Genomic DNA, 27,583 nt, shown 5'->3' with positions numbered 1-27,583 from the left:
CTCCAACTCCTGACATCGTGATCCACCCGCCTCCGCCTCCCAAAGTGCCACCGCGCCCGGCCTTTTTTTTTTAAGACAGAGTCTCGGCCCGGCGCGGTGGCTCACGCCTTTAATCCCGGCACTTTGGGAGGCCGAGGCGGGCTGATCACGAGGTCAGGAGATCGAGACCATCCTGGCTAACACGGTGAAACCCTGTCTCTACTAAAAATGCAAAAAATTAGCCGGGTGTGATGGCGGGCGCCTGTAGTCCGAGCTACTCCAGAGGCTGAGGCAGGAGAATGGCGTGAACCCGGTAGGCGGAGCTTGCGGTGAGCCGAGATCAGGCCACTGGAATCCAGCCTGGGCGACAGAGGGAGACTCCGTCTCAAAAAAAAAAAAAAAAAAAAAAGAGTCTGGCTCTGTTGCCCAGGGCTGGAGTGCAGTGGCGCGATCTCGGCGCATCACAATCCCTTCCCCGCCCGCCCCCGGGTTCAAGTGATTCTCCTGTCTCAGCCGCCGGAGCAGCTGGGACTACAGGCGCGTGCCACCATGTCTGACTAAATTTGTATTTTTACTAGAGACGGGGTTTCACTATGTTGGCCAGGCTGGTCTCCAACTCCTGATCTCGTGATCCGTCTGCCCCGACCTCCCAAAGTGCTAGGATTATAGGCATAAGCCACCACGCCCGGCCTCTTTTTTTTCTTTTTCTTTTCTTTATCTGGAGACTGAGTTTTGCACTTGTTGCCCAGGCTGGAGTGCAATGGTGCGATCTCAGCTCACTGCAATCTCCACCTCAGCAGGAGAGCAGGAATCTTCAGTGATCCACGGGCAGATCTGCCACCATTGTGGGCACCTGTTCCTCCCGCGACCTTTGTGCCCGCCTCTCTCCTTCCAGTACCTATTGCATGACCCCCCACGTCCGCCTCCCGCCATTGCCAGCAAGTGCCTCGCGCGGGTACCTGGCTGCGCTTATTAATCCGTTAAGCTCGCTCTGTCACGGGCGCCGTGATGTGCTCACGCGCCCGCTCCCTCAGGTTTAAAAGGCGCGTTGCCCGGCAACAGAAGAAACTGCTGGCTTAGCCTTTGGCGGAGTTGGCGGCTGGACGAGGACGCTCAGAGCCCAGCTCTCGAGAGTTCAAGCAACCGACGGTTCCCCACTGCTCCCAGGAGCGGTTACCTGGGCACTCTGTGCCCCTCCTTCCTGTTCGGGCCCAGGCCGAGGACCTGCCAGTAGGGCTCAGTTGCCTGGAGCCCGTTCAGCCCATCCCCCAGTTCACTTTGCTTGTGGGATCTCCCCGTTGCTCCTGCCCGTGGACTGAGTGGCAGGCCATCCTACAAGCACCCGGACACTTGACATCAGTGGTGTCAAGACAACTCTAAGAAGGTTTTCGGTGATCCTGCAAGCCCTGCGTTCCTTCCTGGGATCCTGCCTTCAATTTGATTGCACAGGTACCACAGCAAGCCAGTGCTGTGTGCTCCGAGTTCCAGGGCGTCCTCCAGCTCAGCCACTGCACTGAGAACATGGACTCTCTGTGGGGCCCAGGAGCCGGGAGTCACCCCTTTGGGGTCCACAACACCCGGCTGTCCCCAGACTTGTGTCCAGGGAAGATAGTGTTGAGGGCCCTCAAGGAGAGCGGGGCAGGGATGCCTGAGCAGGACAAGGACCCTAGAGTCCAAGAGAATCCTGGTGATCAGAGAAGGGTCCCCGAGGTCACCGGGGATGCACCGTCTGCATTTCGGCCCCTGCGGGACAATGGAGGCCTCTCTCCCTTTGTGCCCAGGCCCGGGCCTCTGCAGACAGACCTCCATGCCCAGAGGTCAGAAATCAGATATAACCAGACATCCCAGACCTCCTGGACGAGCTCCTGCACCAACCGAAATGCCATCTCCAGCTCCTACAGCTCCACGGGAGGCTTGCCGGGGCTAAAGCGGAGGAGGGGGCCAGCCTCATCCCACTGCCAGCTGACCCTCAGTTCCTCAAAGACAGTGAGTGAGGACAGGCCTCAGGCTGTCTCTTCAGGTCACACCCAGTGTGAAAAGGCAGCAGATATAGCACCAGGGCAGACACTCACCCTCAGGAATGACTCCTCCACATCCGAGGCCTCTAGGCCCAGTACACACAAGTTTCCCCTGCTGCCACGCAGGCGAGGGGAGCCTTTGATGCTGCCACCTCCCTTAGAGCTGGGGTACCGGGTCACTGTTGAAGACCTGGACCGGGAGAAGGAGGCGGCATTCCAGCGCATCAACAGTGCACTGCAGGTTGAGGACAAGGCCATCTCGGACTGCAGACCCTCATGGCCTTCCCACACTTTGTCCTCACTTGCAACAGGGGCTTCTGGTCTGCCTGCTGTTTCTAAAGCATCCAGTATGGATGCACAGCAGGAGACACACAAGTCCCAAGACTGCCTGGGCCTACTGGCCCCCTTAGCATCTGCTGCAGAGGTCCCCTCTACAGCTCCCGTGTCTGGGAAGAAGCACAGACCACCAGGCCCCCTGTTCTCCTCCTCAGATCCCCTTCCTGCCACCTCTTCTGATTCCCAGGACTCAGCCCAGGTCACCTCGCTGATTCCTGCCCCCTTCCCAGCTGCAAGCATGGATGCAGGCATGAGAAGAACAAGGCGTGGCACTTCTGCTCCTGCAGCTGCCACAGCAGCCCCTCCCCCCTCCACACTGAACCCCACGTTGGGGTCACTACTGGAGTGGATGGAGGCCCTTCACATTTCTGGGCCTCAGCCACAGCTGCAGCAGGTGCCCAGAGGTCAGAACCAGAGATCCCAGACCTCCCGGACCAGCTCGTGCCCCAAATGAAATGCCATCTCGAGCCCCTACAGCTCTACGGGAGGCCTCCCGGAACGAAAGCGGAAGAGGGGCCAGCCTCATCCCACTGCCAGCTGACCCTCAGTTCCTGAAACACACTGAGTGAGGACGGACCTCAGGCTGTCTCTTCGGGTCACATCCAGTGTGAAAAGACGGCAGATACAGCACCAGGGCAGACACTCGCCCCCAGGGGTGGCTCCCCCAGATCCCAGGCCTCTAGGCCCCGTAGATGCAAGTTTCCCCTGCTGCCACGCAGGCGAGGGGAGCCTTTGATGCTGCCACCTCCCTTAGAGATGGGGTACCGGGTCACTGCTGAAGACCTGGACCGGGAGAAGGAGGCGGCCTTCCAGCGCATCAACAGTGCACTGCAGGTTGAGGACCAGGCCATCTCGGACTGCAGACCCTCACGGCCTTCCCACACTTTGTCCTCACTTGCAACAGGGGCTTCTGGTCTGCCTGCCGTTTCTAAAGCACCCAGTATGGATGCACAGCAGGAGACACACAAGTCCCAAGACTGCCTGGGCCTAGTGGCCCCCCTGCATCTGCTGCACAGGCCTGTAGTCCCAGCTACTTGGGAGGCTGAGGCAGGAGAACGGCATAAACACGGGAGGCAGAGCTTGTAGTGAGCTGAGATCGCGCCACTGCAATCCAGCCTGGGTGACAGAGCCATACTCCGTCTCAAAAAAAAAAGAAAAAGAAAAAAAGTTCTTGTGACATTTGTGTATGAAATCAGCCTTCACTACATGGATAGGACCAGCACGCTTCCGCGGCACGACTCTGCAATCTTACTACATTTTTTTTATTTTGTATTTTTTTTATTCCTTTTGAGACAGTCTCACTCTGTCACCCAGGCTGAAGTGCAGCCGAGATCTTGGCTCACTGCAACCTCCACCTCTTGGGTTCAAGCAATTCTCCTGTCTCAGCCTCCCAAGTAGCTGGGACTACAGGCACACGTCAAAACGCCTGGCTAATTTTTGTATTTTTAGTAGAGATGGAGTTTTGCCATATTGGTCAGGCTGGTCTCGAACTCCTGACCTCAGGTGATCGACCTGTCTTAGCCTCCCGAACTGCTAGGATTACAGGTGTATGTTTATTTATTTATTTATTTAAGATGGAATCTTGCTCTGTATTTATTAATTTATTTATTTGAGATGGAGTCTTGCTCCATCGCCCAGGCTAGAGTGCAGTGGTGCAATCTCGGCTCCCTGCAACCTCTGACTTCCAGTTTCAAGTGATTCTCCTGCCTCAGTGTCCCAAGTAGCTGGGATTACAGGTGCCTGCCACCACAGCTGGCTAATTTTTGTATTTTTAGTAGAGACAGTGTTTCACCATCTTGGCCAGGCTGGTCTCGGGCTCCTGACCTCATGAACCACCTGCCTCAGCCTCCCAAAGTGTTGGGACTACAGGCCTAAGGCACCATGCTCGGCCATATTTATTTATTTAAATATTTAGAGACAAAGTCTTGCTCTGTCACCCAGGCTGGAGTGCAGTGGCGCCATCTCAGCTCACTGCAGCCTCCGCCTCCGAGGTTTAAGCGATTCTCATGCCTCAGCCTCCTGAGTAACTGGGACTACGGGTACTCACCACCATGCAGGGATATTTTTTTCTATTTTTTTTAGAGACACGGTTTCACCATGTTGGCCAGGCTGGTCTCAAACTCCTGACCTTAGGTGATCTGACAGCCTCGTCCTCTCAAAGTACTGGGATTACAGGCATGAGCCACTGTGCCCGGCCTCTCACTACATTTAAGTGACGCCATGGCTCATGCCTGTAATCCCGGCACTTTGGGAGGCCAAGGCAGGTGGATCACTTGAGGTCAGGAGTTCGACATGAGCCTGGCCAACATGGGGAAACCCCGTCTCTAGTAAAAATGCACAAATTAGTCAGGCATGGTGGTACAAGCCTGTAGGCCCAGCTACTTGGAAGGCTGAGGCAGGAGAATCACTTTAACCGGGAGGCAGAGGTTGCAGTGAGCCAATATCATGTCACTGCACTCCAGCTTGGGTGACAGAGTGAGACACCGTCTCAAAAAAAAAAAAAGAAAACAGAAAAACATATGATGCCAGGGCGTCTCGGCCTCAATACCTGCATGAGCACAGTCATGTCCAGGCCAGGGCTGCTGGTCGAGGTCCGGCCCCATCTCTTTCAGCAGAAAGGGAGTAAGCTTGCCGGGAGGCTGGGGGACAAGATCCCAGGATCTCAGCCTCCGCTCATGGATCAGCTCCGAGACCCCGAGTGAGCTGGGGGTGCTCTGTGCGCATTGGTTTCCCCAGCTGTCAAGTAAAGGGATTGGATGAGGAAGTCTTGTCAAGGTGGAATGATCTCAGATTTGGGGCAGCAGTGAATGATCCCGCTCCCTGAGCCATGCCAGTGGCCCGGCCTCGGCTCAACACAGCCCCAACACTCTGGAATGGGGATGAGGGGGCAGTCAGCTCTTGCTCCTAGTAAGAGAGATGCAATAGGGCTCTGTGGCTGAGCTGGGTGCCTTGCCTCACACCTGTAATCCCAACCTTTGAGAGGCTGAGGCGGGAGGATTGCTTGAGGCCGGGAATTTTGAGAATAGCCTGGACAACATAGCCAGACCCCATGTCTACAAAATAATAATAAAACACACAGCTATAGTCCAAGCTACTTGGCAGGCTGAGGCAGGAAGGTCCCTTGAGTCCGGGAATTGGAGGCTGCATTGAGCTATAATCGCACCACTGCACTCCAGCTTGGGTGACAAAGTGAGACCCTGTCTCTAAAAGAAAAAAAAATTGTCCTGTGAGCATGGGTTTGATCTTCAAACAGGACCCGGAGGGTAGGGACAGACAGTGCTGTCACCCTTAGGTGCTGAACACTCAGAAACGGGCCAGCGGCAGTCCTTTCCTCACCTGCAGACACCAGATTGGGCAGAACAGCACGTGGCACTTGCAGCTCTTGCAGTGAGGGCAGAACCCAGTGTCAACCCTTCTGCCTGTGGGAGGGGCTGCTGAGGCCTGCGGAGAGGCCAGGGTGGAGGCTCGTCCCCTTGTCCAGCCCTTGGCGTGGTCTCCACCAGGTCCCCAGCCCACCAGTGTAGGGCGCCCCTGAGCCTGCTGCTGCCACGGGCCCTGTCTCTACCCAGGACGTCCCCCGACCCTCGCAGTGTCAGGGAAATGATCATGGTGGTGGTGACACTCTGCAGGCAGGGCTGCTGAGAGAAGCTGAGAAGGGTCACACTGCAGGCAGGGGCCCGTGTGACAAGCCCCTCTCACCCCGAGAGAGCTGACCAGGCAGCTCACGAGCAGAGCCACATCCCGGGAGTCCGAGAAAGGTCCTGGCTGGGCTCAGCCACCTCACTGGCCACGGGCAGCCTTTGTCGTGTGAGCCTTGCTCTCCTGGGGAGGCTCAGGCTGACGGCTGATGTGGGCATTGCCGAGGGTAACCTGTGGCCCAGTGTATATGGCCGGGTCTCCTCAAGCTGCATTCATTCAAGTAGGACCCAGGGTGCATGCCCATCTCCAGCCCAGGGCAGCTCCCCTGTAAGCTGGGTGAGCTACTGAAGCCAAGGTGGGAGGCAGCTGACATCACCACCCACGGCCCATGCGGAGGTGGCAGAAAGGCTGGACTCAGCAGCAACACCAAATCCCGGACCAGGCAGAAACCACCCAAGACTGAGGGGCTCATGCCAGAGCGGTGGCCACAGGTAAGAACCCGGGCCCAGGCTGTGTGGCAGGAATCCTCCATGTCCCAGGGCTTAGCATAGCAAAGGAAGACCAGCCGGGTCACCCTGGTGGCCATCTGTCCCTGTCCCACCTGCAGAGTCAGAACAGCCTCTCCCCAGTGGGGATCCTCTCTCTCTGCCAAAGCAACAGCGGTCCCTGCCCCAACCAGACTACCCCACTCAGTGGAGTTACGGATGCTGCTCCAGCATCCTAACACTGCCCAGCTGGTGCCTGCCTGTGCTCACCCACACCCCCCAGGCCGGCCTTCCCTGCAGCCTGGGCTTGGCCACCTTGGCCTGATTGAGCACTGAGGCCTCCTGGGCACCCAGCCCTATCACTGCACCTGCTGCTTCCAGCCCCACCCCACCGGCTCTGGGGTTCTTCCCAGCGGCGCTGATCATGAAGTCAACATGCACGCAAGTCGTCTCAGGAAACTTTTTAATGAAAGTGTCGGCCACGGTGGTGTGTAGGTGGCTGAGCTCAGATTGCAGCTGCTAAGACACCAGCCACTTACCAAGAGAAAGCCAGGCTGCTTCAAACCCAGGGCCCGCGGCAAAAAAGCATCACTTCCGGCCGGGGAGTCTGGAAGCCACGCCTTGTGGGAGGTCACACTGGCATCTAGGCCTTCGCCTGCACTGCAGAAGGAGAGCCGGGTCCCCTCCTGGAGAACGCTGCGTTCCCCAGCCCCACACCGGCTTTGCCACCACACAGGCTGTTGAGGCAGGAGGCGGGTAAGACGTAGCTGTAGACCCAAAGCAACCACCAGCCCTGGGACCCTGTGGGAGAGGAGCACTTTTAGAACATGGAAAAGTGTGGTCATCCCATCATTAGACAGCACACATCCTACATAAATAAAAAGTCGTATGGGGAAGGAGGTTGGGGAGGGAATAAAAAATTGGCACAGACATTGATAGACTGGTTTCCAGTTTCAAGGTAACAGATGCACATCATGAGACCAGAGGAGGCAGAGACAAGGGCTGGATTTGGCTTTTCTAAGCAACATGTGTTCCTGTGCAGGGCTGAATGGTCGCTGAGACAGAGATGGAAGCCAGGACAAGGGAGCCCACCGGGCCCAGATAGGTACAGAGAGCAGAGGCTCCTGTTCTGTCCTCGCCACCCACGAGGGTGACACTGCTTGTAAATGGTGGCTGTGCTCTCCCAGCAAGTAAAAAGCACAACTAAATCCACACTGCACACAGACGCAGACAGAAAGCCTTCAAGTAGCTCTGTTTTCTGCTCCCTGCCTTGCCAGGTCCACAAGCAGAGAGGAGTGTCAGGCACATGGCCCCACTGTCAGGCTCCCCAGTGAGCTGTGGGTTCAGCAGGAGCTGCCCACTGACACACAGGGGACACCCACTCCTGCCACCTTGGGAGCGGTTGCCAGACAGAGCCGCACTGGGTGCTGGTGTCATCCAGGGACCCCACACACTTCCTTAAATGTGATCCTGCTTCCCTCTGGGCAGCTGCATCCTCTCCTCCTGCAGGACCGTCTGGAAACTTGGCTCTCAGTTTGATCTCCCTTCTCTCCTCTGCCTGCCCCAAGCCCCTCTTTCTAAAAAAGTGATGCCATGTTCATGGGATTATTTCTTGAAAATACTTGGCGGCCTCCATGCTTCTGTTTTCTTTGAGCCAGGTGGTCAGGAGGGCTTACAAAGAATGCCTGGGCTCCCCCGCAGGTGCCGGCAGATGGGGTAGCGAATGGTCCTGTGCCTCCACCTGCTCCGGGAGGGAGTCTCCCGTCTCTAGGCCTGGCCCCTTCCTAACCCTCCACGTATCCTGTTCTCCAGAGACTTCAGAACCCACTCCTGAGAACAGCGGAGCCAGGCGCTTAGAGGAAGACCAAATGCTGCCAGGACACGGATTGTCCAGGGATTACATTCCAGCATCTTATTAGGTATCTGGATCTGTTCGGAAAAAAATTAGAAACTATGTATAAAACTTAAAAATATTCAAGTATCAAAAGGTTATTTAGGATGAAAGTTTTAAAACAAGTCATCAGCAAGCTGCTGCCACCAAGTGGAGACTTATACAAAAGATGAGCGAGTCCACTGAGCTGAGAGGACAGAAATGAAGTCACCTGTGCTGGGGCAGGGGCAGGGACACTGGGGGCAGGGAGTGTGTGGGCAGAGAAGCCAGAGAAGTCCAGGCCTGTGGAAGCCAAACAGGAGAGCGTGGGCCGGAAGGGCGGTCAGGATCGGGGGACGAGGTCGCTCTCCCTGGAGAACGAACCCTAAGGTGCGTAGCCTGGGATTCCCTCCCTGGGGGTCCTGTCCCCCGACATTTCACAGGCCTTCTGAGCTGCCTTCCAAGGAGGACTAACACGGCAACAAAAGACCCATTTCTGCACAAAAATCCTTCTGGAAAGAAAAAGAAGAAAGCCAAGAATGGAGTCAAAACGCTACCCAGTGCTGACCAAGCCTCTCAAACCCTGTTAGAAGTGGAGTGTGGTTTCTAAGTCAGGGAAATGGAAGAGGCCCCACCCACACAGGGACAGGGCCACGGCCCCCACAGGATGAAGCAGCAGCGTTTATTCAAGATACAACAGTGAGGGAATCCAGTCACGTTCCCTTCTCCCCAGAGAGGGCGCTTCTTGACAAGTGATTCAGTAGAAATCTTTTGGACTCTATAAGTTAAGTTCATAAAAACCACTGCTTTCACCCTGTCTCCCAGGGCCAGGCCTGGACTCCGAGATGAACTGGCTTGGGGCGCCCTCGGGTGGCCACATAAAAAACCCACAGTCTGAGGCCAGCCTGGGGCTTTCAGACCTGGGCGGGATCTGCCCAGGCCACCTGTCCTTCTGCTTTGGGCCGCTGTCTCTTGGCAGATGGCCTGACACCTGGGGGTGGCCCAAGGATGCCTCAGAAAATCTTGATTCCCACTCTACAGATGGCCCGATTAGCCAGAGGTTTCCAGGCCATCTGTCCGCCTCCAGGAGATGGACTGGGACCTTTAGACATCGGTGGAGAACAGGATGCTCTGTCTCTTGCTGTTCAGGGCAGGGATGGCCTCCAGCCGCAAGAAGTACAGCAGCACCTCGTCCTGCCCTCGCAGAGTGGGGAAGAGGAGAGTGGCTCAGAGGGGGGCTCACAGCTGCTGGTGGGGAGGTCTTTGGGGCCCAAGCCCCCAAGTCCACCTCAGGTGCTAGAAACCCCTGCTGGTGTCATGAACCCCTTACAGTGAGACGGGGGTGGGGTGGGGTCCTGACAAGGCATGACTTGTTGGGTGGGGGGTGATTATTTATTTTAGAGATGCACAGGGCCTTGCTCTGTCCCCCAGGCTGGAGTACAGTGGCTCCATCATGGATCACTGCAGCCTCTAACTCCTGGGCTCAAGCAATCCTCCTGTGTCAGCCTCCCAGATACCTAGGATTACAGATGTGTGCCACAATGCCTGACTAATTTTTCTTTGTATTTTTTCTAGAGATGGGGTTTGCTACATTGCCCAGACTGGTCTCAAACACCTGGGTTCAGTTGTCCTGCCTCGGCCTCCCAAAGTGCTGGGATTACAGGCATGAGCCACCACACCCGAACACTTGGGGTGGTTTTAAGCCCCCAGCAAGGTGCACCAGCAGGACCAGGAGGTGGCCTGGGCACCCCCTATCACTCCCATCCATGCAAACCTAGGCAAGTCCCTCTCTCTGAATCTCAGCCACCACCACATACAATGCAAGTCGGAAGATGGGCAGGACTGGGGGTGGGGCAGGCAGAGGCCACCTCTGTCAGGCTGGGGTTGCATGGGCTGGAGACTGTCTTCCCATACCTGAGACATGACCTCCAAGGACCTGCTGTCAGTCATGGTGACAGGCTGGCTGGGGTTGGCAGGGAGCTTGCTCTCCTTCTCGGAGGGCCGGAGCAGCGTGGGGCCAAAGACAGTGGCGAGGTTGTGCAGGGACACCTTATTGACCGCCTCCTTCTCTGCCACCCTGTAGAGGACCGAAGCAGAGGGTGCTGTTTCAACGCCACCACCAGGAGAGAGGCAGAGGGGCTGTGCCGTGCTAGAGTCCTCAGGGAGGGAGTGACCTCGACCCTGGCTGTGCTGCAAGCTGACTCCAGCCTTGGTACTTCTGGGTCTCAGTGGCCCAGGACAAGGGGCCAGCTCTGGGCTGATGGGGAGGTCTTCATGATGTGCTTGGGAGGGAAGAGGGGGGTCCAAGTGCACTGCTGGCCACGGCCAAAGCTCTGAGCTCTTTGTTAAGGCCACAGTGCAGAGGGAGGAGGGTGGCAAAGAGGAGAGGCAGGGGTGGGGGTGGCAGTGGTGCTAGTCCTTAGAAGCAGTGAGTTACTGCAGACAGGGGTCGGGGGAAAAGGTCCTTGGTGCTGGGGGTCTGGTGGGAGCAGAGGGGCACCCCAACGGCCTGGAGACCTGGAGTCCTGGGCAGCCACAAGAGAGCTGGGCTACCTTTCCAGGTGGTCTAGAAGGAAAAGGAAGGTGAGCAGGTTGGCCTCCGGCAGGGACAACAACAGGTTGAGCATGCAGCTCTTCCTTGCAACTGGGTCTGAAAGAGCTGCAGGAGGCAGTGGGTCACTCCCCTGGGTTACGACAAGCCGGAGACCTCTCCCGAGGTGGTCACATGGAGCGCCCGGGACACGAGTCCTTGCGCAGTTTAGGCTTGTCATCATCGTCACACCCACAGCGCTGGCCGCCAGTGAGGACCCTGTGAGGGGCACCTGTGTGGGGTGTGAACCACCTGAACGCCTTTTCTCTACCTCGCAGGGGTCAGCAGCACCCGGCGAACAGCAGCAGGAGGAGCCGCTAGAGCAGCTGCTCATGGGCAGAGCTGCCCTCGGGCAACTCCTGCCACCACCCCCTCCCCAGGGAGCCCAAGGCAGGGGAGGCTCAGCATGGAATGAAACAGGGGAGTGAGGGACACAAGGAGGTGGGAAGTGGGAGGGTCCCAGCCCCACCAAGTACACAGAGACCCCCTCGTCGTCCTGGACACCACAGGGGCACCTGCAGGCTGGGAGACCAGGTCCTCTGTGCATGGGCCCGGGAGGCAGACCTGCCCTAAGGGTGATGCAGAGGCCACAGGTGCTGCACGCACCAGCACCCGCTCTAGACATCAGCCTCCAGGTTGACTAAGGGTCAGGTCATGTTTGAAACCATGCTTGGCTGGACCAGGACCCATGGCAAGAGCACCCAGGCACCCTCCTTCAGCCCTGGTCTGCAGGAAGGAGGACAGCAGACTTTAGGACCCCATAGCACAGCAGTGCTGACTATTTCAGCCTCTTGGTCTCCTTGAGGAGTAGGGATGGGGAGCCCTCTGGGGATGGGCAAGGCCTTCCAGGACAGGCTCGGTTCTGGTCCCCTGCTTTTTGAGGTTGGGTTAAAATGCCGACCACGGCAGAGGGGTTACAGCTCAGGTTCCCACACCTCGCTTTTCACAGCCTCCGAGGGCAGCAGTGCACGTGGAGGAGACGTCTCCCATGAGGCCAAGGCCTCCAGTGCTCACCGATGCCCTCTGCGAAGTTGGGGTAGAACTCGTCAGTGAAGAGGGGCTCGGGCAGCTCACGGAAGTACAGCTTCAGCGTGCCTGCGATGGCGTTCACGTCCATCTCGCTCATCATCACCGACACGTCCTTGTTATCTGGAAAGAGCACGGAAATGCAGCGGCCTCCTTGAAGATCCTGAGTGAGTCACCCACCATCCCTGCCTTGGCTAAAGCACCGTCCCTGCCACACTGACCACTGTGCGGGTCCCTCCTGGGCTTTGAGCAGCTCATCTGACTCCTCCCAAGAGCTGTGCATGGTTCTGTGTCTGCAGAGTTGATAGGGGTGCGTGGGCATTCCCATTCCTCTCCCCTGCTTGGCCTGATGTGATGGCCAGGAGGAGGCCAACGTGGCAGGACACAGCGCCTGCGTGGGGATTGGGTGGCTCTGCCCTGTACATAGCAACCACCCCTGCACCAGTGTCGTCTGATAGCAGGAAGGCCGTGGGAGAATCTGATTGGTTTCAGTGTTTGAACCGGTGTCTTCCTTTGGACCCAATTGGCCATTGGTGCTTACATCCTCACCACAGGCCAGGTTCATTCTGGGCCCCCAGAGGGAGCTGAAACTACCACAGGGCCCTCCCAGGGATGCTGGGCATTCTAGGGGTCCTGGTCAGGGTGGGTGGTGTGTGCTGCAAAGAAGGGTCTGCAGGCACAAAATCCTGTTGCTTTGAAGATGCTGGGAAGGACCCTCTGGGGTCTCAGTGCCCTCCCCTGGCATTTGAGGCCAGTCTGGGTCCTTCAAGGCCTGTGAGGGTTGGTGAGATGGAGGCGGAGATGCTGCAGCCCCGGCCTGCGCTGAATTTCATCAGTGCCCTCTGCCCACCACATCCTCATACAGGGCAGTGGACAGACCGCACTGAGTCCTGGGCTTCCACCTCCTGTCCACCCCCAAGGCAGGAAGGCCAAGTCCCCACAGAAGCCCCTGGTCCACTCCACCAAGTGGCATGAGTGGGTACGATGGTGTAAAAACTGGCTTCTATAGAAGCTGTTTGTACAACTCTTGTTTTCTCTTTTTTTAAAATAATAAAACAGTAAATGAAGAAAAGACACAGAGAAGGATGTGACATGCCTGGGCCATGGAGCACTCTGAGATCTCATCGCGGACACCACTGCCCACACCTCCATCCCGTCCTGCGCAGGCCGACACTCACTGACGTTGAAGCCTGCCTTCAGTGCCTGGATGTCCGTGGCCACACCGGACACGCGGTAGATGCCCACCTCCTCCATGCCTCGGCGCTCGATCTCCTCCACGCACTGGCGCATGATGTAGGGCACCTTGGACCTCTCTCTCCTGCGGGAGGAGGGAATGTTCTCAGTGTCCTAACAGCCCCGCTTGGGCCATAACACAGGAGGCCTGCTCCCTATCTGCACACCCGGAGGTGGGGTGAGGACGGTGACGAAGGTACCCAGGTCTGGGGCTGCACACAGAGCCTTCTGCATGCCTGTCCTCCCTCTGCAAGCTCTGTCCTCATGGCATGTGCTTTCTCAGGAACCTTTCAAGCGGCCAGAACCCCTGCGAATCACACATGACCTTTGCGGGAAGGTCAGGAGGCCTGTCTAAGTCAAGTCAGCACAGGAAGGGCATCTGACAGATTCCAGGCCTGGGGTTAGCAGCCTGTGCCCCCGGCTGGGAGGTCAGACCCGGTGTTGGTCCTGCCACCCACGTGCTGTGTGAGAGGAGAATCCCTGACCCCTGCCCTGGGCCTTAACACACATCCGACGAATGAATGAAGGGTTGCCTCAGCACCGGTGCTCCAAGTCCTGCGATGCTAAGTGCTTTTCTCCTCTGAGTCTTAGCAATGGACAATTCCAATACCTCCACACAGGACACTAGAGTAAGAATCCTTCACAGTTAGAACGCAGTGCTGTGCGGAGGCCCTAACTTGAGTTCTGTTTTGCACCTGGATTTACCAGCACATCAAAGCTGCTTCGCAAGCCCCCTCATTAGCAGGGCTTATCTGGGGGAGCTGCTCATGGAGTCCTCGCTGCTCATGCCCACAGCCCTCCCAGAGTGCTATGCGAGTGGCTGCCGTGCAGTTGGGGGTGGGGCGTGGTGTTTAGACACAGATAGGAGTCCAGGGTATGACTGATGGAGGCCCCGGCCCACGTGACCAGCAAGGTCAGAGGCCCAGCCAGATTCCATCCTGGGGAAGCAAATGAATTCTCAGAGGAAGTGGTCTATGTCTGCATGAACTGCTCTCAAACCAAACAGGCTTCTCTTGGCAACTGACTCGTGACAAAGGGGCAGGGGTTATGGCCATTCAACAGGAATCTGGGACCGTGACTAATTCCAAGCAAGGGCAGAAAACCCTGCACTTGGGCAGTTCCTGGAGCCAGCCTACTGCTTCCAAGCAAGGTGGCAAGGACATTCCTGAGCTGGTTTGCAGGAAACACAGGAGGTAGCTGAAGACGCCGTGTTCCCTGGGGCCTGACCTCACCGTGCAGTGGCCATGCACAGAGAGGAGAGACCCACACATGCTCTTTTCTGCAGAAACAGCTGAAGGGACAGGCACCCTCAGTGCGTGAGCCCAAGCCCCTCCCCACTCACTTGGTGACCACAGCAATCTTGACTCCGAAGACCCCTGTCTGTTTTCGGGACGGCATCCTCTTCAAGCTGAACTCCCTGCTGTTGAACTTGACCGAGAGCTTTACTTCGATCTACAGTGGGGAGAAGGGGCACAGTCCTCTAATCCTTCTGGTCCTCACAGCCCAAGGTCCCAAGGACCCCTGGGAGTCTCATCAAATATTTCCACCCCCAAGGCATGCAGAGGTCTCAGCATGAGGTGGAGCCGCCCCTCGGGGAAGCCCCTAGTCTACTTCAGCAAGAGCCAGGATTGTTGAAGATGATATAAACGACTGGTTTCTGCAGAAGCACCTCCTAAAATCCCCGCTGCTTCTCTTGCTTGCTTGCTTTTTTTTTAGATATGGGATCTTGCAATGTTGCCCAGGCTGTAATCAAACTCTTGGGCTCCAGTGATTCTCCTGGCTCAGCCTCCAGAGTAGCTGAGATTATAGTGTACTGTGACCAGCTTTCTCTTAGTAACAATTAAAAATTAAGAAGGAAAGACAGAATAATGTAAGAAAAAGCCAAGAATCTCAAATATTAACATTTTACCATTTATACCCGGGCCTTTTTGGGTGTGTCATTGCTTTTAAGGTCTAAACCTTTCTGGGGTACCTAAAGACAAATCAGGGGTCTCCATTTCTATGGGCAGCCCCCAGGTCCCTGAGTGGAGGCCCCACCTGTCCTGGTGGTGCCATGAGACCTTTGTTTGAGGAGGGATGCTCAGGGCCTGGCTGGCAACTGCATTCCAGCCAATGAATGACGATTCCCGTGCATGGTGATTCTGCTCTTGGGGGCCCTCCCTTCTCCAACCAGGCTCCCTCTCAGATGCTGCCTCAGGCTCAGCCACCTCTGACTGATTTGAAATGAACAGAGGCCACCCTATCCTTCTGGGGGAAGTGGGCGCCAGGAGAGTCCCACGGACACGTACCCCATTCATGGCGATGACGGCGCGCTGCCAGTCTCTGTCCTGCAGGGCCTGCGGGTCCAGCTGAAAGGAAGGAGTCATGATTGGCAGAGGCCCTGGGGTCTGTTCAGAGGCCCCACGGGGCAGCAGCCCACACCCGCCACTTCCCCAACCCTTAGTCAGAGGCAGAGCCCGACTGCAGCCAGCACCTCCATCCAGAGGCCGAGACGTAGAGTAAGGAGGGGCCTGCCAGACACCCCTGGGACCCAGGGCCCCACTGCTCCCAGAGCCCTGCTGCCTGGGGTCTCCACCCCCTCCTCCCTCTGCCCCTCCCAGTTGGGAGCTGAGGACAGGCAAGGGACCCTAGAGGCCACAGCCACCTGGGCCTTCTGCAGGTGAAGTGGCCAGAAAATAAGAAGCTCTGGAGCAGGTCAAGGAGCCCAGCCAGCTGCCCCTACTTCACAGGTGTGTGCACCTGGGCCTCCCTCCCTGCACCTGCTCAGCACGAAGGCTCACCACAGGCACACCTGGGGGGTGACCCCTTCTCACCTCCCCGTCTAGGTCCTACTGGTTAACATTTCCCAAGGCTCTGAACTGTGCAGCCAGAGTGGCACAGAGAAGCAAAGGGCGGCGGGACGTCTCCCACCGGGGGCCATGTGGCCACAGGCTCTCATTCCACACCTGGCCCTGAAGGTCGTCAGAGGCCACACTCCAGGCCTCAGGGACCCCACCCTGAGAATCAGCATCTGTGAGCAGGGAGCAGTCAGTCAGAACCACACACAAAAAGGAAACTCTCAAGTGGCACTTTCCCCCGGAGTGAACCCTAAGCAGAGGCAGGAGAGGACAACATGAGGGATGCGGACAGAGTGCGCTTTCTCTGGAAAGGAGGAGTTTATACCACTGCTGGGAGCTTTAAAAAATGGAAACCCTGCCTGTGATATCAGCACTTTGAAAGGCCGAGGCAGGAGTATCACTTGAGCCCATGAGTTTAAGACCAGCCTGGGCAATATAGTGAGACCTTGTCTGTATTAAAAAAAAAAAAATTTAAAAAGGCAGCCAAGCATGGTGGCACATACCTGCAGTCCCAGCTGCTTGAGAGGCTGAGGTGGGAGCATTGCTCGAGCCTGGAAGGTGGAGGCTGCTGTGAGCCACGATCATGCCATTGCACTCCAGCCTGCGCAACAGAGCGAGAGACCCTGGCTCTAACTAACTAACCAAGTAACTGGAAACATAGAAACATGTTAAACAGGAGACATTCTTCCCTTTCCTTCAAAGAACAGCCATCACTGGGCCCCTCTCCCCTTGAAAACTCAGAACTGGCAGAAGCAGCTAACAAGCAACCCAGAGTCCAGGTAAGAAAAGACAGAAAGAGAAGCTGTCCAGACATCAGGCAGCTGCCCCTCTGAGCCTGCCTGGAACCACGGCCCACATGCCAGCCCATTAATAAAATAATAATGAAAACTACTCACATCTAACAAGAGATTAGACATCCAGATAGAGGAGGCTCAAATATCCCCAAACAATGCAATGCAAAGGGTCTTTGCCGTGGCAAACTATAATCAGACTATTTAAGGTCAATGTGAAAATGCGAATTCTAAAACCACCAAGAGAAAAGGATCTAGTCACCTATAAAGCAAACCCCATCAGATGAAGAGCAGATTTCACAGCCCAGCAAATAGAAAACATGTGCTTAAAGGCATAGGAGGCAGAGAGGTACAGGGCTGGAGACAGGCAAGGCCAGCATTCCCCTCAAGGCGACGGCCAATCTTGGAAGAGGAGGCTGAGAGACAGAGCAGTGATTCTTTTTTTTTTTTTTTTGAGACGGAGTCTCACTCTGTCACCCAGGCTGGAGTGCAGTGGCATGATCTCGGCTCACTGCAACCTCCACCTCCTGGGTTCATGCCATTCTCCTGCCTCCGCCTCCTGAGTAGCTGGGACTACAGGCGCCTGCCACCATGCCCGGCTAATTTTTTGTATTTTTAGTAGAAATGGGGTTTCACCGTGTTAGCCAGGATGGTCTCGATCTCCTGATCTCATGATCTGCCCGCCTTGGCCTCCCAAAGTGCTGGGATTAGAGGCGTGAGCCACCACGCCCAGCTGATTCTTCCTTTCTTTTTTTTTTTTTTTTTTTTTTTTGCTTTTTATTTTGCTGAAACAGGGTTGCCATTACTTTTAAAGGCAAACACTGCAATTACTTTTGTACCAACCTAATAATATATTGCTCTGGCTGGTCTCAAATTCCTGGCCTGAAGCAATCCTCCTGCCTCAGTCTCCCGAGTAGCTGGGACTATAGGTGTGAGCCACCACACCTGGTCTAGAGCAGTGCTGTTGACTTACTCATGTGGCTGAGGGAGGGGATGCCATAATGCCCCACATGTGGGGTGCAGGTTTCTTACTCTAGGAGTCACAGTCAACCAGAAATAAAGCAGCCCTCAGGAGCACTGGATCCAGCTTCAGATCATCTCAGTCACTCAAATGCATAAAGGAGATCTCAGAATTTTAGACCCCTAGGCCTCAAAGTATTTTATTTTTATTTATTTATTTATTTGAGACAGCATCTCACTCTGTTGCCCAGGCTGGAGTGCAGTCTCAGGATCATGGCTCACTGCAGCCTCGATCACCCAGGCTCAAGTGAGCCTCCCACCTCAGCGTCCCAAACAGCTGGGACTACAGGCACACACCACCACCACACACAGCTAATTTTTTATTTTTTGTAGAGATGGGGTTTCACCATGTTGTACAGGCTGATCTTGAACTCCTAGGCTCAAGCAATCTGCCCGCCTCAGCCTCCCAAAGTGATGGGATTACAAGCATGAGCCATCATGCTGGGGCTCAAAATTATTTTTAAAAATTATTTCTGGCTGGGCGCAGTGGCTCACGCCTGTAATCCCAGCACTTTGGGAGGCTGAGGTGGGCAGATCACGAGGTCAGGAGTCTGAGACCAGCCTGACCAACATGGTAAAAACCCATCTCTACTAAAAATACAAAAATTAGCCAGGCGTGCTGGCACCTGCCTGCAATCCCAGCTACTTGGGAGGCTGAGGTAGGAGAATTGAACCCTGGGATGCAGAGGTTGCAGTGAGCCGAGATCACGTCATTGCACTCCAGCTTGGGCAACAAAGCGAGACTCCATCTCAAAAAAAAAAAAAAATTATTTGTAACGATTTTTATACACAACTTCCATTGCCAAATTAAAAACAACTAAGCAAACAAGGAAATAAGACAGCAGGAAAAAAGCTCAAGAGAAAGCACAGACAACTTTTAAAAAGGCCCATAGGATCTCCAGATTATAAAATCATCAGACCATGTACTTTAAAATAAGTTCTTTACATGTATATCAAGGATATAAAGAAACAATTAAGAATTTCATCAGAAAACTGGCAACTACAAAAAATGGATGCACTAGGCGTGGTGACTCACGCCTGTAATCCCAGCACTTTGGGAGGCTGAGGTGGGTAGATCACCTGAGGTCAGAAGTTCAAGACCAGCCTGACCAATATGGTGAATCCCCATCTCTACTAAAATTACAAAAATTAGCCAGGCATGGTGGCATGCTCCTATAGTCCTAGCTACTCGGGAGGCTGAGGCAGGAGAATCACTTGAACTGGGAGGGGGAGGTTGCAGTGAGCCGAGATCGCACCACTCTACTCCAGCCTGGGCGACAGAGCGAGACTCCGTCTCAAAAAAAAAAAAAAAAAAAAAAGGAGGCTGGGAGTGGTGGTTTAGGCCTATAATCCCAGCACTTTGGGAGACAGAGGTAGGCCAATCACATAAGGCCAAGAGTTCAAGACCAGCCTGGCCAACATGGCAGAACCCCATCTCTACTAAAAATACAAAAATGAGTTAGGCGTGGTGGTAATCCCAGTTACTCGAGAGGCTGAGGCATGAGAATCGCTTGAACCTGGGAGGTGGAGGCTACAGTGAGTTGAGATTGCACCACTGAACTCCAGCCTGGGCAACAGATAGAGACTCAAAAAAAAAAGTCTAAAAAAAAAATGGAATTAGGAACTCAATTTGAACAGCACACTAGACACAAACATAAAAAAAAATAGTGAACTGGTATTTATTTATTTATTTATTTATTGAGACAGGGTCTCACTCTGTTGCCCAGGCTGGAGTGCAGTGGCATGATCTCGGCTCACTACAACTTCCACCTCTCGGGTTCAAGCAATTCTCCTGCCTCAGGCTCCCAAGTAGCTGGGATTACAGGCACCCACCACCACGCCCGGCTAATTGGGAGATAGTTTGATACAAACTATACAAATTGAAGTACAAAGAGAAAAACAGATAGAACATACAGGAAATGGATTAAGAGACATGGGGGATACTTTAACAAGGCATAAGTCATGTGAAATTGGAGTCTCATAAGGAGAGTAGAGAGAGGATGGGGAAGACATAATACTTGAAGAGATAAAGCTGGCAGTTTTCTAAAATGGACAAAAAAGAATCAAGTCATGGAATGAGGAGCCACCTAAATGCATCAGTGTAAACTGCTCAAAACAAAGACAAAACTTTTCAAAGCAGCCAGAGGAAAAAAGATACTGCCTGCAGGCCAGGGTTGTGGGCTGTCTCATGCCTGTAATCCCAGCATTTGGGAGGCTGAGGCGGGCGGATCACCTGAAATGAGGAGTTTGGGATCAGCCTGACCAACATGGCAAAAGTTCATCTCTATTAAAAATACAACAATTAGCCAGGTGTGATGGTGGACACCTGTAATCCCAGCTACTTGGGAGGCTGAGGCAGAAGAATCACTTGAACCCAGGAGGCAGAGGTTGCAGTGAGCTGAGATTGCACCACTGCAGTCCAGCCTGGGTGACAGAGTGAGACTCCACCTCAGAAAACACAACAACAGAAAAAGCCATTGCCTTCAAATGAGCAAAATTAGATTGAGAATTGGCTTCCCAATAAAAGCAGGAGAAATCAGATACAAGGGAATCATGTTTTCAAACTGAGGAAAGAAAATATCTGCCAACCTAGAATTCTATGCTCATTAACAATATCCTTCAAAAGTGAAAATGGCTGGGCATGGTGGCTCATGCCTGTAATCCCAGCACTTTGGAAGGCCGAGGCAGGTGGATCACCTGAGGTCAGAAGTTCGAGACCAGCCTGGCCAACATGGTGAAACCCCATCTCTACCAAAAATACACAAATTAGCCAGATGTGGTGGTGGATGCCTGTAATCCCAGCTACTCAGGAGGCTGAGGCACAAGAATTGCTTGAACCTGAGAGGTGGAGGTTGCAGTGAGACAAGATCTTGCCACTGCACTCCAGCCTGGGTGACAGAGCGATACTCCGTCTCAAAAAAAAAAAAACAACAAAAATTAGCCAGACGTGATGGCTAACACCTGTAATCCCAGCTACTCAGGAGGCTGAGACAGGAGAATCACCTGAACCCAGGAGGCAGAAGTTGCAGTGAGCTGAGATCCCACCACCGCACTCCAGCCTGGGCCACAGAGCGAGACTCGGTCTCAAAAAACAAACAAACAAAAAAGTGAAAGTGGAATATATATATGTGTGTGTGTATATGTGTATATATGTGTGTGTGTGTATATGTGTGTATATATATGGAATATATATGTATATTTTGCCCATGACATAGCCCTCAGGAGATCCTTGACCATGTGCTGAAAGATATTTCTTCCCAAAGATATTTTTATAAATAAAAATAAAGGGTAACAGAAGAGGTAAACGTGTGGGTAAATCTAAATGAATGTTATTGGTATGAAATTACAGTAGTATAGAAAATGATATATTGTGGGGTTTAAAATAAATAAAACATACTGAAATATGTATGGGTACAGTTATATATCTGGGATTTGCACTGAAATAATGTGGGGTAGAGGGAAGCAGGAAAGAGTATACATGAAATTAGCTTGGCCATGAGATTGTTGTTGAAATTGAATGGATACTCGGGGCTTCATTACACAATTCTCTTTACTCTTACATAGCTCTACACTCTCAACATAAATAAGAATAAAAACACAAAAAACACACAGATACATCTATGCACACATATATATTTAAAATACACAAAAATATTAGCATATAAGTCACTGGGGGTAAATTTAGTTCCTGTTCCAAGGTTCTTGTACTGACTAGGAAGAGCATAGAAGTACTAACTCATAGGCTGGGCGCGGTGGCTCATGCCTGTAATCCCAACACTTTAGGACGCCGAGGTAGGCAGATCTCTTAAGGTCAGGAGTTCAAGACCAGCCTGGCCAACATGGTGAAACCCTGTCTCTACTAAAAAAGAATACAAAAATTGGCCGGGCATAGTGGTGCACACCTGTGGTCCCAGCTACTCAGGTGACTGAGGCAGGAGAACTGCTTGAACCCAAGAAGTGGAGGTTGCAGTGAACCAAGATTGCTCCACTGCACTCCAGCCTGGGCAGCAGAGGAAGACTCTCTCTATCTCAACAACAACAAAAAGTACTAGCTCATGTTAGACTTTGATAAGTGAAGGATGCATGTTGTAAGCTCTAAAATAATCCACTGTCATCTTTTAAAATAACTCTAAGACTGCAGAGCTATGAAACTAATAGAGAAGGAGGAAATTAAATAATAAAAATAATAAATCCAAAACAAGATGTGAGAGGAGATAAGAAGAAATAGAATAGGCATGGAAAACAAATTGGTGGTGGGTTTCAACCCAAATAAATCATTAGTTACATTTAAAAGGACAATAAAAATTAAAATAATTGAAAATAAAGTAAAACCCAACTAATGCCTTTTATATAAGGATACAGAGAGGTGGAAAATAATGAAAAATATGGCATGCATGCACTAACCAAGAAAGCTGTATAACTTTTTTTTTTTTTTTTTTTGGAGATAGAGCCTCACTCTGTCTCCCAGGCTGGAGTGCAGTGATGTGATCTTGGCTTACAGCAATCTCTCCCTTCTAGGCTCAAGCGATTCTCCCACCTCAGCATCCCAAGTAGCTGGGACTACAAGTGTATATTAGCCACACCCAGCTAATTTTTGTATTTTTTGTAGAGGCAGGGTCTCGCCACGTTGCCCAGGTTGGTCTTGAACTCCTGGGCTTCAGTGATCCACCCACCTCGACCTCCAACAAAGTGCCGAGATTACAGCCATGAGCCACCATGCCCAGCATAACTATTTTTAATGAAGTAGACTTTAAGAAGAAAAGTATGGCCGGACGCGGTGGCTCACGCCTGTAATCCCAGCACTTTGGGAGGCCGAGGCGGGCGGATCACGAGGTCAGGAGATCGAGACCACGGTGAAACCCCGTCTCTACTAAAAATACAAAAAATTAGCCGGGCGCAGTGGCGGGCGCCTGTAGTCCCAGCTACTCGGGAGGTTGAGGCAGGAGAATGGCGTGAACCCGGAAGGCGGAGCTTGCAGTGAGCGGAGATCGCGCCACAGCACTCCCGCCTGGGCGACAGAACGAGACTCCGTCTCAAAAAAAAAAAAAGAAGAAAAGTATTATTAGAGGTAAGAGACACATCACGGAAAAGAAGAATTTACTAGGAGCCAGGTGCGGTGGCTCATGCCTGTAATTCCAGCACTTTGTGAGGCCAAGGCGGCTGATCACCTGAGGTTGGGAGTTCAAGACCAGCCTGACCAACATGGAGAAGCCCTGTCTCTACTAAAAATACAAAAATTAGCCAAGCATGGTGGCACATGCCTGTAATCCCAGCTACTCAGGAGGCTGAGGGAGGAGAATTGCTTGGACCCAGGAAGTGGAGGTTGCGGTGAGCTGAGATTGTGCCATTGCATTCCAGCCTGGGCAACAAGAGCAAAACTCTGTCTCAAAAAAAAAAAAAAAAAAAAAAAAAAGAAGTTACTAGCTAGTTTCAGTAATTCTTAACATCCAGGAAACTGGATGTGAAAGCTTTTCAGAGAAACTAAACCAATAGATTATACATAGAGAGAGATTTATTGAGGAATTGGCTCACATGATTGTGGGGACTAGCAAGTTTAAAATCTGTAGGGCAAGCCAGCAGGCTATAAATTCAGGTAAGAGTTGATCTCGAAGTCTGGAACCTAAACTCTGTAGAGCAGTCAGCAGGCCAGAAACTCAGGCAGGGTTTGTGTGTTACAGTCTTGAGGCAGAATTCCTGCTTCTCTGGGAAACCTCAGTTTTTGTTCTTACGGCCTTCAACTGATTGGAGGTGGCCCACCCATATTATGGTGGGTAATCTGTTTTACTTAAAGTCAACTGACTGTCAGTGTTAATCACATCTATGAAATAACCTCCCAGCAAGATATTGACAAGTATTTGACCAAACAACGGGGCACCATAGCTTAGCCAAGTTGACATATAAATTAACCATCAGGAGCAAGTAGAATATCCAAAAAACAACATACTAGGGGTATTATATCTTATATAGCTATTATAATTATATAAAACATACAATTATAGAATGACGATATTAAGATAACCATTAGAACAAAAATATAAACTTTTCTTTCTTTCTTTTTTTTTTTTTTTTGAGACCAAGTCTTGCTCTGTCACCCAGGCTGGAGTGCAGTGGTACAATCTTGGCTTACCGCAACCTTTGCCTCCTGGGTTCAAGTGATTCTCCTGTCTCAGCCTCCCAAGTAGCTGGGATTACAGGCATCCGTTACCATGCCCAGCTAATTTTTGTATTTTTAGTAGAGACGTGGTTTCACCATGTTGCCCAGGCTGGGCTCCAACTCCTGACCTCAAGTGAGCCACCCCCATCGGCCTCCCAAAGTGCTGGGATTACAGGTGTGAGCCACCACACCCAGCCAAAAATCACCTTTTTTACAAGGATCAAAACAGTCATTATGCTGGAGATGACAGACCTCACTGTCACCATGCTCCTTTTGTATGTCTACTAGGCACGGTGCTGGGTCCACACTCACAGAAAGCTTAGGAACTCGCACCCAGGGGCTGCGGCTGTAGCAGAATCCCAAGAGTAAAACCTGGTGCTGAAAGAGTAGGAGATGAGGCCGGGTGCCATGACTCACTCCTGTAATTCCAGCACTTTGGGAGGCCAAGGCGGGCGAATCAAGAGATAGAGACCATCCTGGCCAACATGGTGAAACCCCGTCTCTACTAAAAATACAAAAATTACCTGGGCGTGGTGGCTGGCACCTGTAGTCCCAGCTACTCAGGAGGCTGAGGCAGGAGAATCATTTGAACCAAGGAAGCAGAGGTTGCAGTGAGCTGAGATCGCGCCACTGCACTCCAGCCTGGTGACAGAACGAGACACCATCTAAAAAAAAAAAAAAAAAGCAGGACACTGAACTCTGGGAGGGCCTCCTGGTGAGAGGTGAGCACAGAGGGGAGAGATGGAGGCAGGAGCATGGGCTTCTGGTGGCCCCAGCAGACCCTGTGGCAGCGTGGCCAGGGTCCTCTGCAGGGAGGAATCTTGGCCAGGATGACACTGTAGCAGGCCTCTTCCTGAGGCCTCCAGCCAGCCCGGCCAGGGTCCCAGCGTCCAGTGACCCCTGTTTCGCAGCAGCAGCTGGGGCCAGCCCCAGGCTCTCTTCCACTCCCAGCTTCTTAAAACAGGAAGTGGAGAGAGTTGTTTGATAAAACACTGGGGCAAACCACATCCTCTCTCTTCACCAAGGGAGAGTTCGAGGGGATGCCGGCAGAGGGAGCTTTAGAGTAGAGACCCCTACCCAACCAGTGACCGTCATGCACACAGCAGGGCATGCTATGGAGACCCCCAGAGAGTCACTTGGGGAGACCCAGCAGGTCCAGACTCTTCAGAGATCTGTGGCAGCAGGTCTCCAATCCCAAAAGCCACGTGCCCACGGGTGGTCTCTGGTGCCTGAGACCCCAGTCTCATTTGCATCTTTGCAACTTCGAGTTTAAGTGGGTGTTGCATCCTGTATGTCCTCCTGAGCAGAGGAGGGGCACAGCCTGGGGTGGCAGCTGGCGTCAAACCCTCAAATCCCCTGAGAGCCACTGGGGAGACTAAGCAGTCCCCAGCCCCTACTTGTCCCTGAGCTGCCATTCTCAGCCCTGTGGGAGGAGACAGAAATCCCTGAAGAGAAACCAAAGGACCAGGTCAGGAGGGGCTGCGGGGGGCGGTGGCATGAGCAATCAGGGCAGGGAAGGATGGACAGATGGGGGAATGGAGGGAAGAAGGAATGAATGAAAAGGTGAATGAATGAACAGAGAGAACGGCCACTCCTCCCTTGCTTTAGTTTACAAAGTACTGGGATCCTCCCAACAGCCTGCAAGACAGAATTTCTGGGAAGCAGACCAGGTGGCTGGCAGGGAGGGGAGGCTTGCCCTGGCTTTTGTGGGCCCAATGGGAGGCAGGGGGCAGGAAGGGGCATCCTGTATGTGTCCTCCCTGCAGCGGCAGCAGCACCTTCCTGGAAGAGGGTCAGGAAACACCCGCTGTGGCCCCTCTCCATCACGCCCTCATCCAGGACACCAAGTATCAGTCACTCAGCTCACGAGACCCAGGCCCTGACTCAGGGAGAGAGGATGTGAGGGGTGGGGCACCGGGCTCCTCAGGACTGAGAGACCTGAGATGTGGCCCCAGGCTGGGTGTAGGGGCAGACTGGCTATGGCAGCATTGTGTGTAACCCAGCAGGCCAGTACCCACGCAGGGAGCCTCCAAACCCCTTCACCCATGACCCTGGGAGAAGACCGCAGCCTTGGAGAATTGGCCTCACTGAAGGGGCCTGCACCGGCCAGCAGGGTCAGCCGGGGCCAGACAGGTTCCCACCTGGGATGTGCAAATGGGCCTCCTGAATCCTGGAGCCAGGTATGGACTCACACACCACCATTGTCCCCAAGTCCCCATCTGCCCCACGGGCACACCCTGCCGCCTGTTCTGTGCAAGGGCCCTGAGGCTGTCTCCTTGCGCTCAAGCCCTGCAGGTGCTGAAGCCCACACACATGGCTCCTGCTGCCTGGGCCAGTGCACGTGCACACACACGCACACACACACACTCACACACACACACACATACCCACACACAATCACGCACATTCACACACACCCACACCCCCATACTCACACTCACACACTCACACCCACACATACACTCACACAATCACACACATTTACACACACCCACACTCACACACTCATAGTCACACACACCCTCACACAGCAAAACACAATCACACACGTTCACACCCACCCACACACTCACACTCATATACCCCCACCCACACTCACACATACACACAAACACACTCACACACATTCACACACACCCACACTCACACATACACACACCCAAACACGATCACACACATTCACACACACCCACACCCCACACTCACACTCATATACCCACACACACTGACACATACTCTCTCACACACACACATGCTCACACACACACACTCTCACACACACGCCTTCTCCAGGAGGGGCTGGCTGCCAAGGGCCACCCAGCTTCCTCCCACGTCTCACTCACCGTCCAATATCCGAGCAGACCTTGGAGTCAGCAGCAACAGCGGCGTGGGCAAAGGCCGGGGGTCAAATGGGGCCTGGTGTCGAGAGAGGACCACAGCCAGCACAATGACAGCCAGCACAAGCCCCAGCCCCAGCAGGACCAGGCCAACCATGGCTCTGCAGTCCTGGGCCATGGCTCTGCGGCCCAGAAGGAGAGGGGAGGCCGGTGGGCAGACGGAGGGACAGATGGGTGGGCAGATGAATGGACAAGAAGGTGCATAGATAGACTCACAGGTAATTGGACAGATGGACAAACAGGTGGGGGCTGAAGACAGACACGAAGATGGATCGACAGATAGGCCAGATAGCTAGACAAAGAGGACAGTAAGAGAAAGATGGTCAGATAGACAATGGGACAGAGATGGGCTTACAGATGGGCGGACAGACAGACGGGTCTGAACAGCGGGCTGCCAGATGGACAGATGGGTGAATGGACAGACGGCTGGCAGCTGTGGCGAGCTGCTGCCCTCACCAAGTGCACACTACGGAGTGACCAAACTCACGCCTCAACTTCTGGTTTTCAGCTCCTGCTTGTTGCTGGCAGGAGGCCAGGCAGCAAAGCGTCTGAGGGGAGTTTTCCTTGCCTAGAGGAGTCAGCTGCTGTGTTAACTCCCTCACTGCTGGTAGGTCCAAAGGCCCCACCTACTGCCCGCCAGAGCCCAGGGTCACACTGTCGCAATGTGCAGGAGAACTTGGTGCCTGCTGCACTGCGGTTGCCAGGTAGG

At 53.6% G+C, this 27,583-nt stretch overlaps 2 pseudogenes across 2 annotated transcripts, besides 2 other annotated features; one reads left to right on the top strand and one right to left on the bottom strand.

Moving 5' to 3' along the window:
- The first annotated feature begins 1,116 nt into the window (after positions 1-1,116).
- On the top strand, positions 1,117-15,098 carry POM121L10P (POM121 transmembrane nucleoporin like 10, pseudogene; annotated as a pseudogene). Its single transcript, NR_024593.1, has 6 exons — positions 1,117-7,213; positions 8,270-8,376; positions 9,903-10,105; positions 10,411-10,539; positions 11,196-12,110; positions 13,003-15,098. The product of NR_024593.1 is annotated as a POM121 transmembrane nucleoporin like 10, pseudogene (transcript).
- Positions 2,852-3,361: an enhancer, noted in NCBI's record as "H3K4me1 hESC enhancer chr22:25052870-25053379 (GRCh37/hg19 assembly coordinates)". NCBI's record gives its function as "activates a minimal SCP1, AML or CMV promoter by ChIP-STARR-seq in primed H9 embryonic stem cells {active_cell/tissue: H9 hESC(primed)}" and the evidence as "EXISTENCE:reporter gene assay evidence [ECO:0000049][PMID:30033119]".
- Positions 6,904-27,349, bottom strand: BCRP3 (BCR pseudogene 3; annotated as a pseudogene). The gene is made up of 7 exons (NR_024494.1): positions 26,821-27,349; positions 15,465-15,524; positions 14,519-14,628; positions 13,189-13,261; positions 11,932-12,066; positions 10,242-10,404; positions 6,904-7,258 (listed from the first exon to the last, which is right to left on the bottom strand). The product of NR_024494.1 is annotated as a BCR pseudogene 3 (transcript).
- Positions 8,641-9,408: an enhancer, noted in NCBI's record as "H3K4me1 hESC enhancer chr22:25046823-25047590 (GRCh37/hg19 assembly coordinates)". NCBI's record gives its function as "activates a minimal SCP1, AML or CMV promoter by ChIP-STARR-seq in primed H9 embryonic stem cells {active_cell/tissue: H9 hESC(primed)}" and the evidence as "EXISTENCE:reporter gene assay evidence [ECO:0000049][PMID:30033119]".
- Positions 27,350-27,583: the final 234 nt, after the last annotated feature.

The sequence above is a fragment of the Homo sapiens genome, chromosome 22 (assembly GCF_000001405.40).
Source record: "Homo sapiens chromosome 22, GRCh38.p14 Primary Assembly".
Classification (NCBI taxonomy): Eukaryota; Metazoa; Chordata; class Mammalia; order Primates; family Hominidae; genus Homo; species Homo sapiens.
The sequence above is the reverse complement of the archived record's forward strand: the minus strand, read 5'-3'. Positions and strand labels throughout refer to the sequence as shown.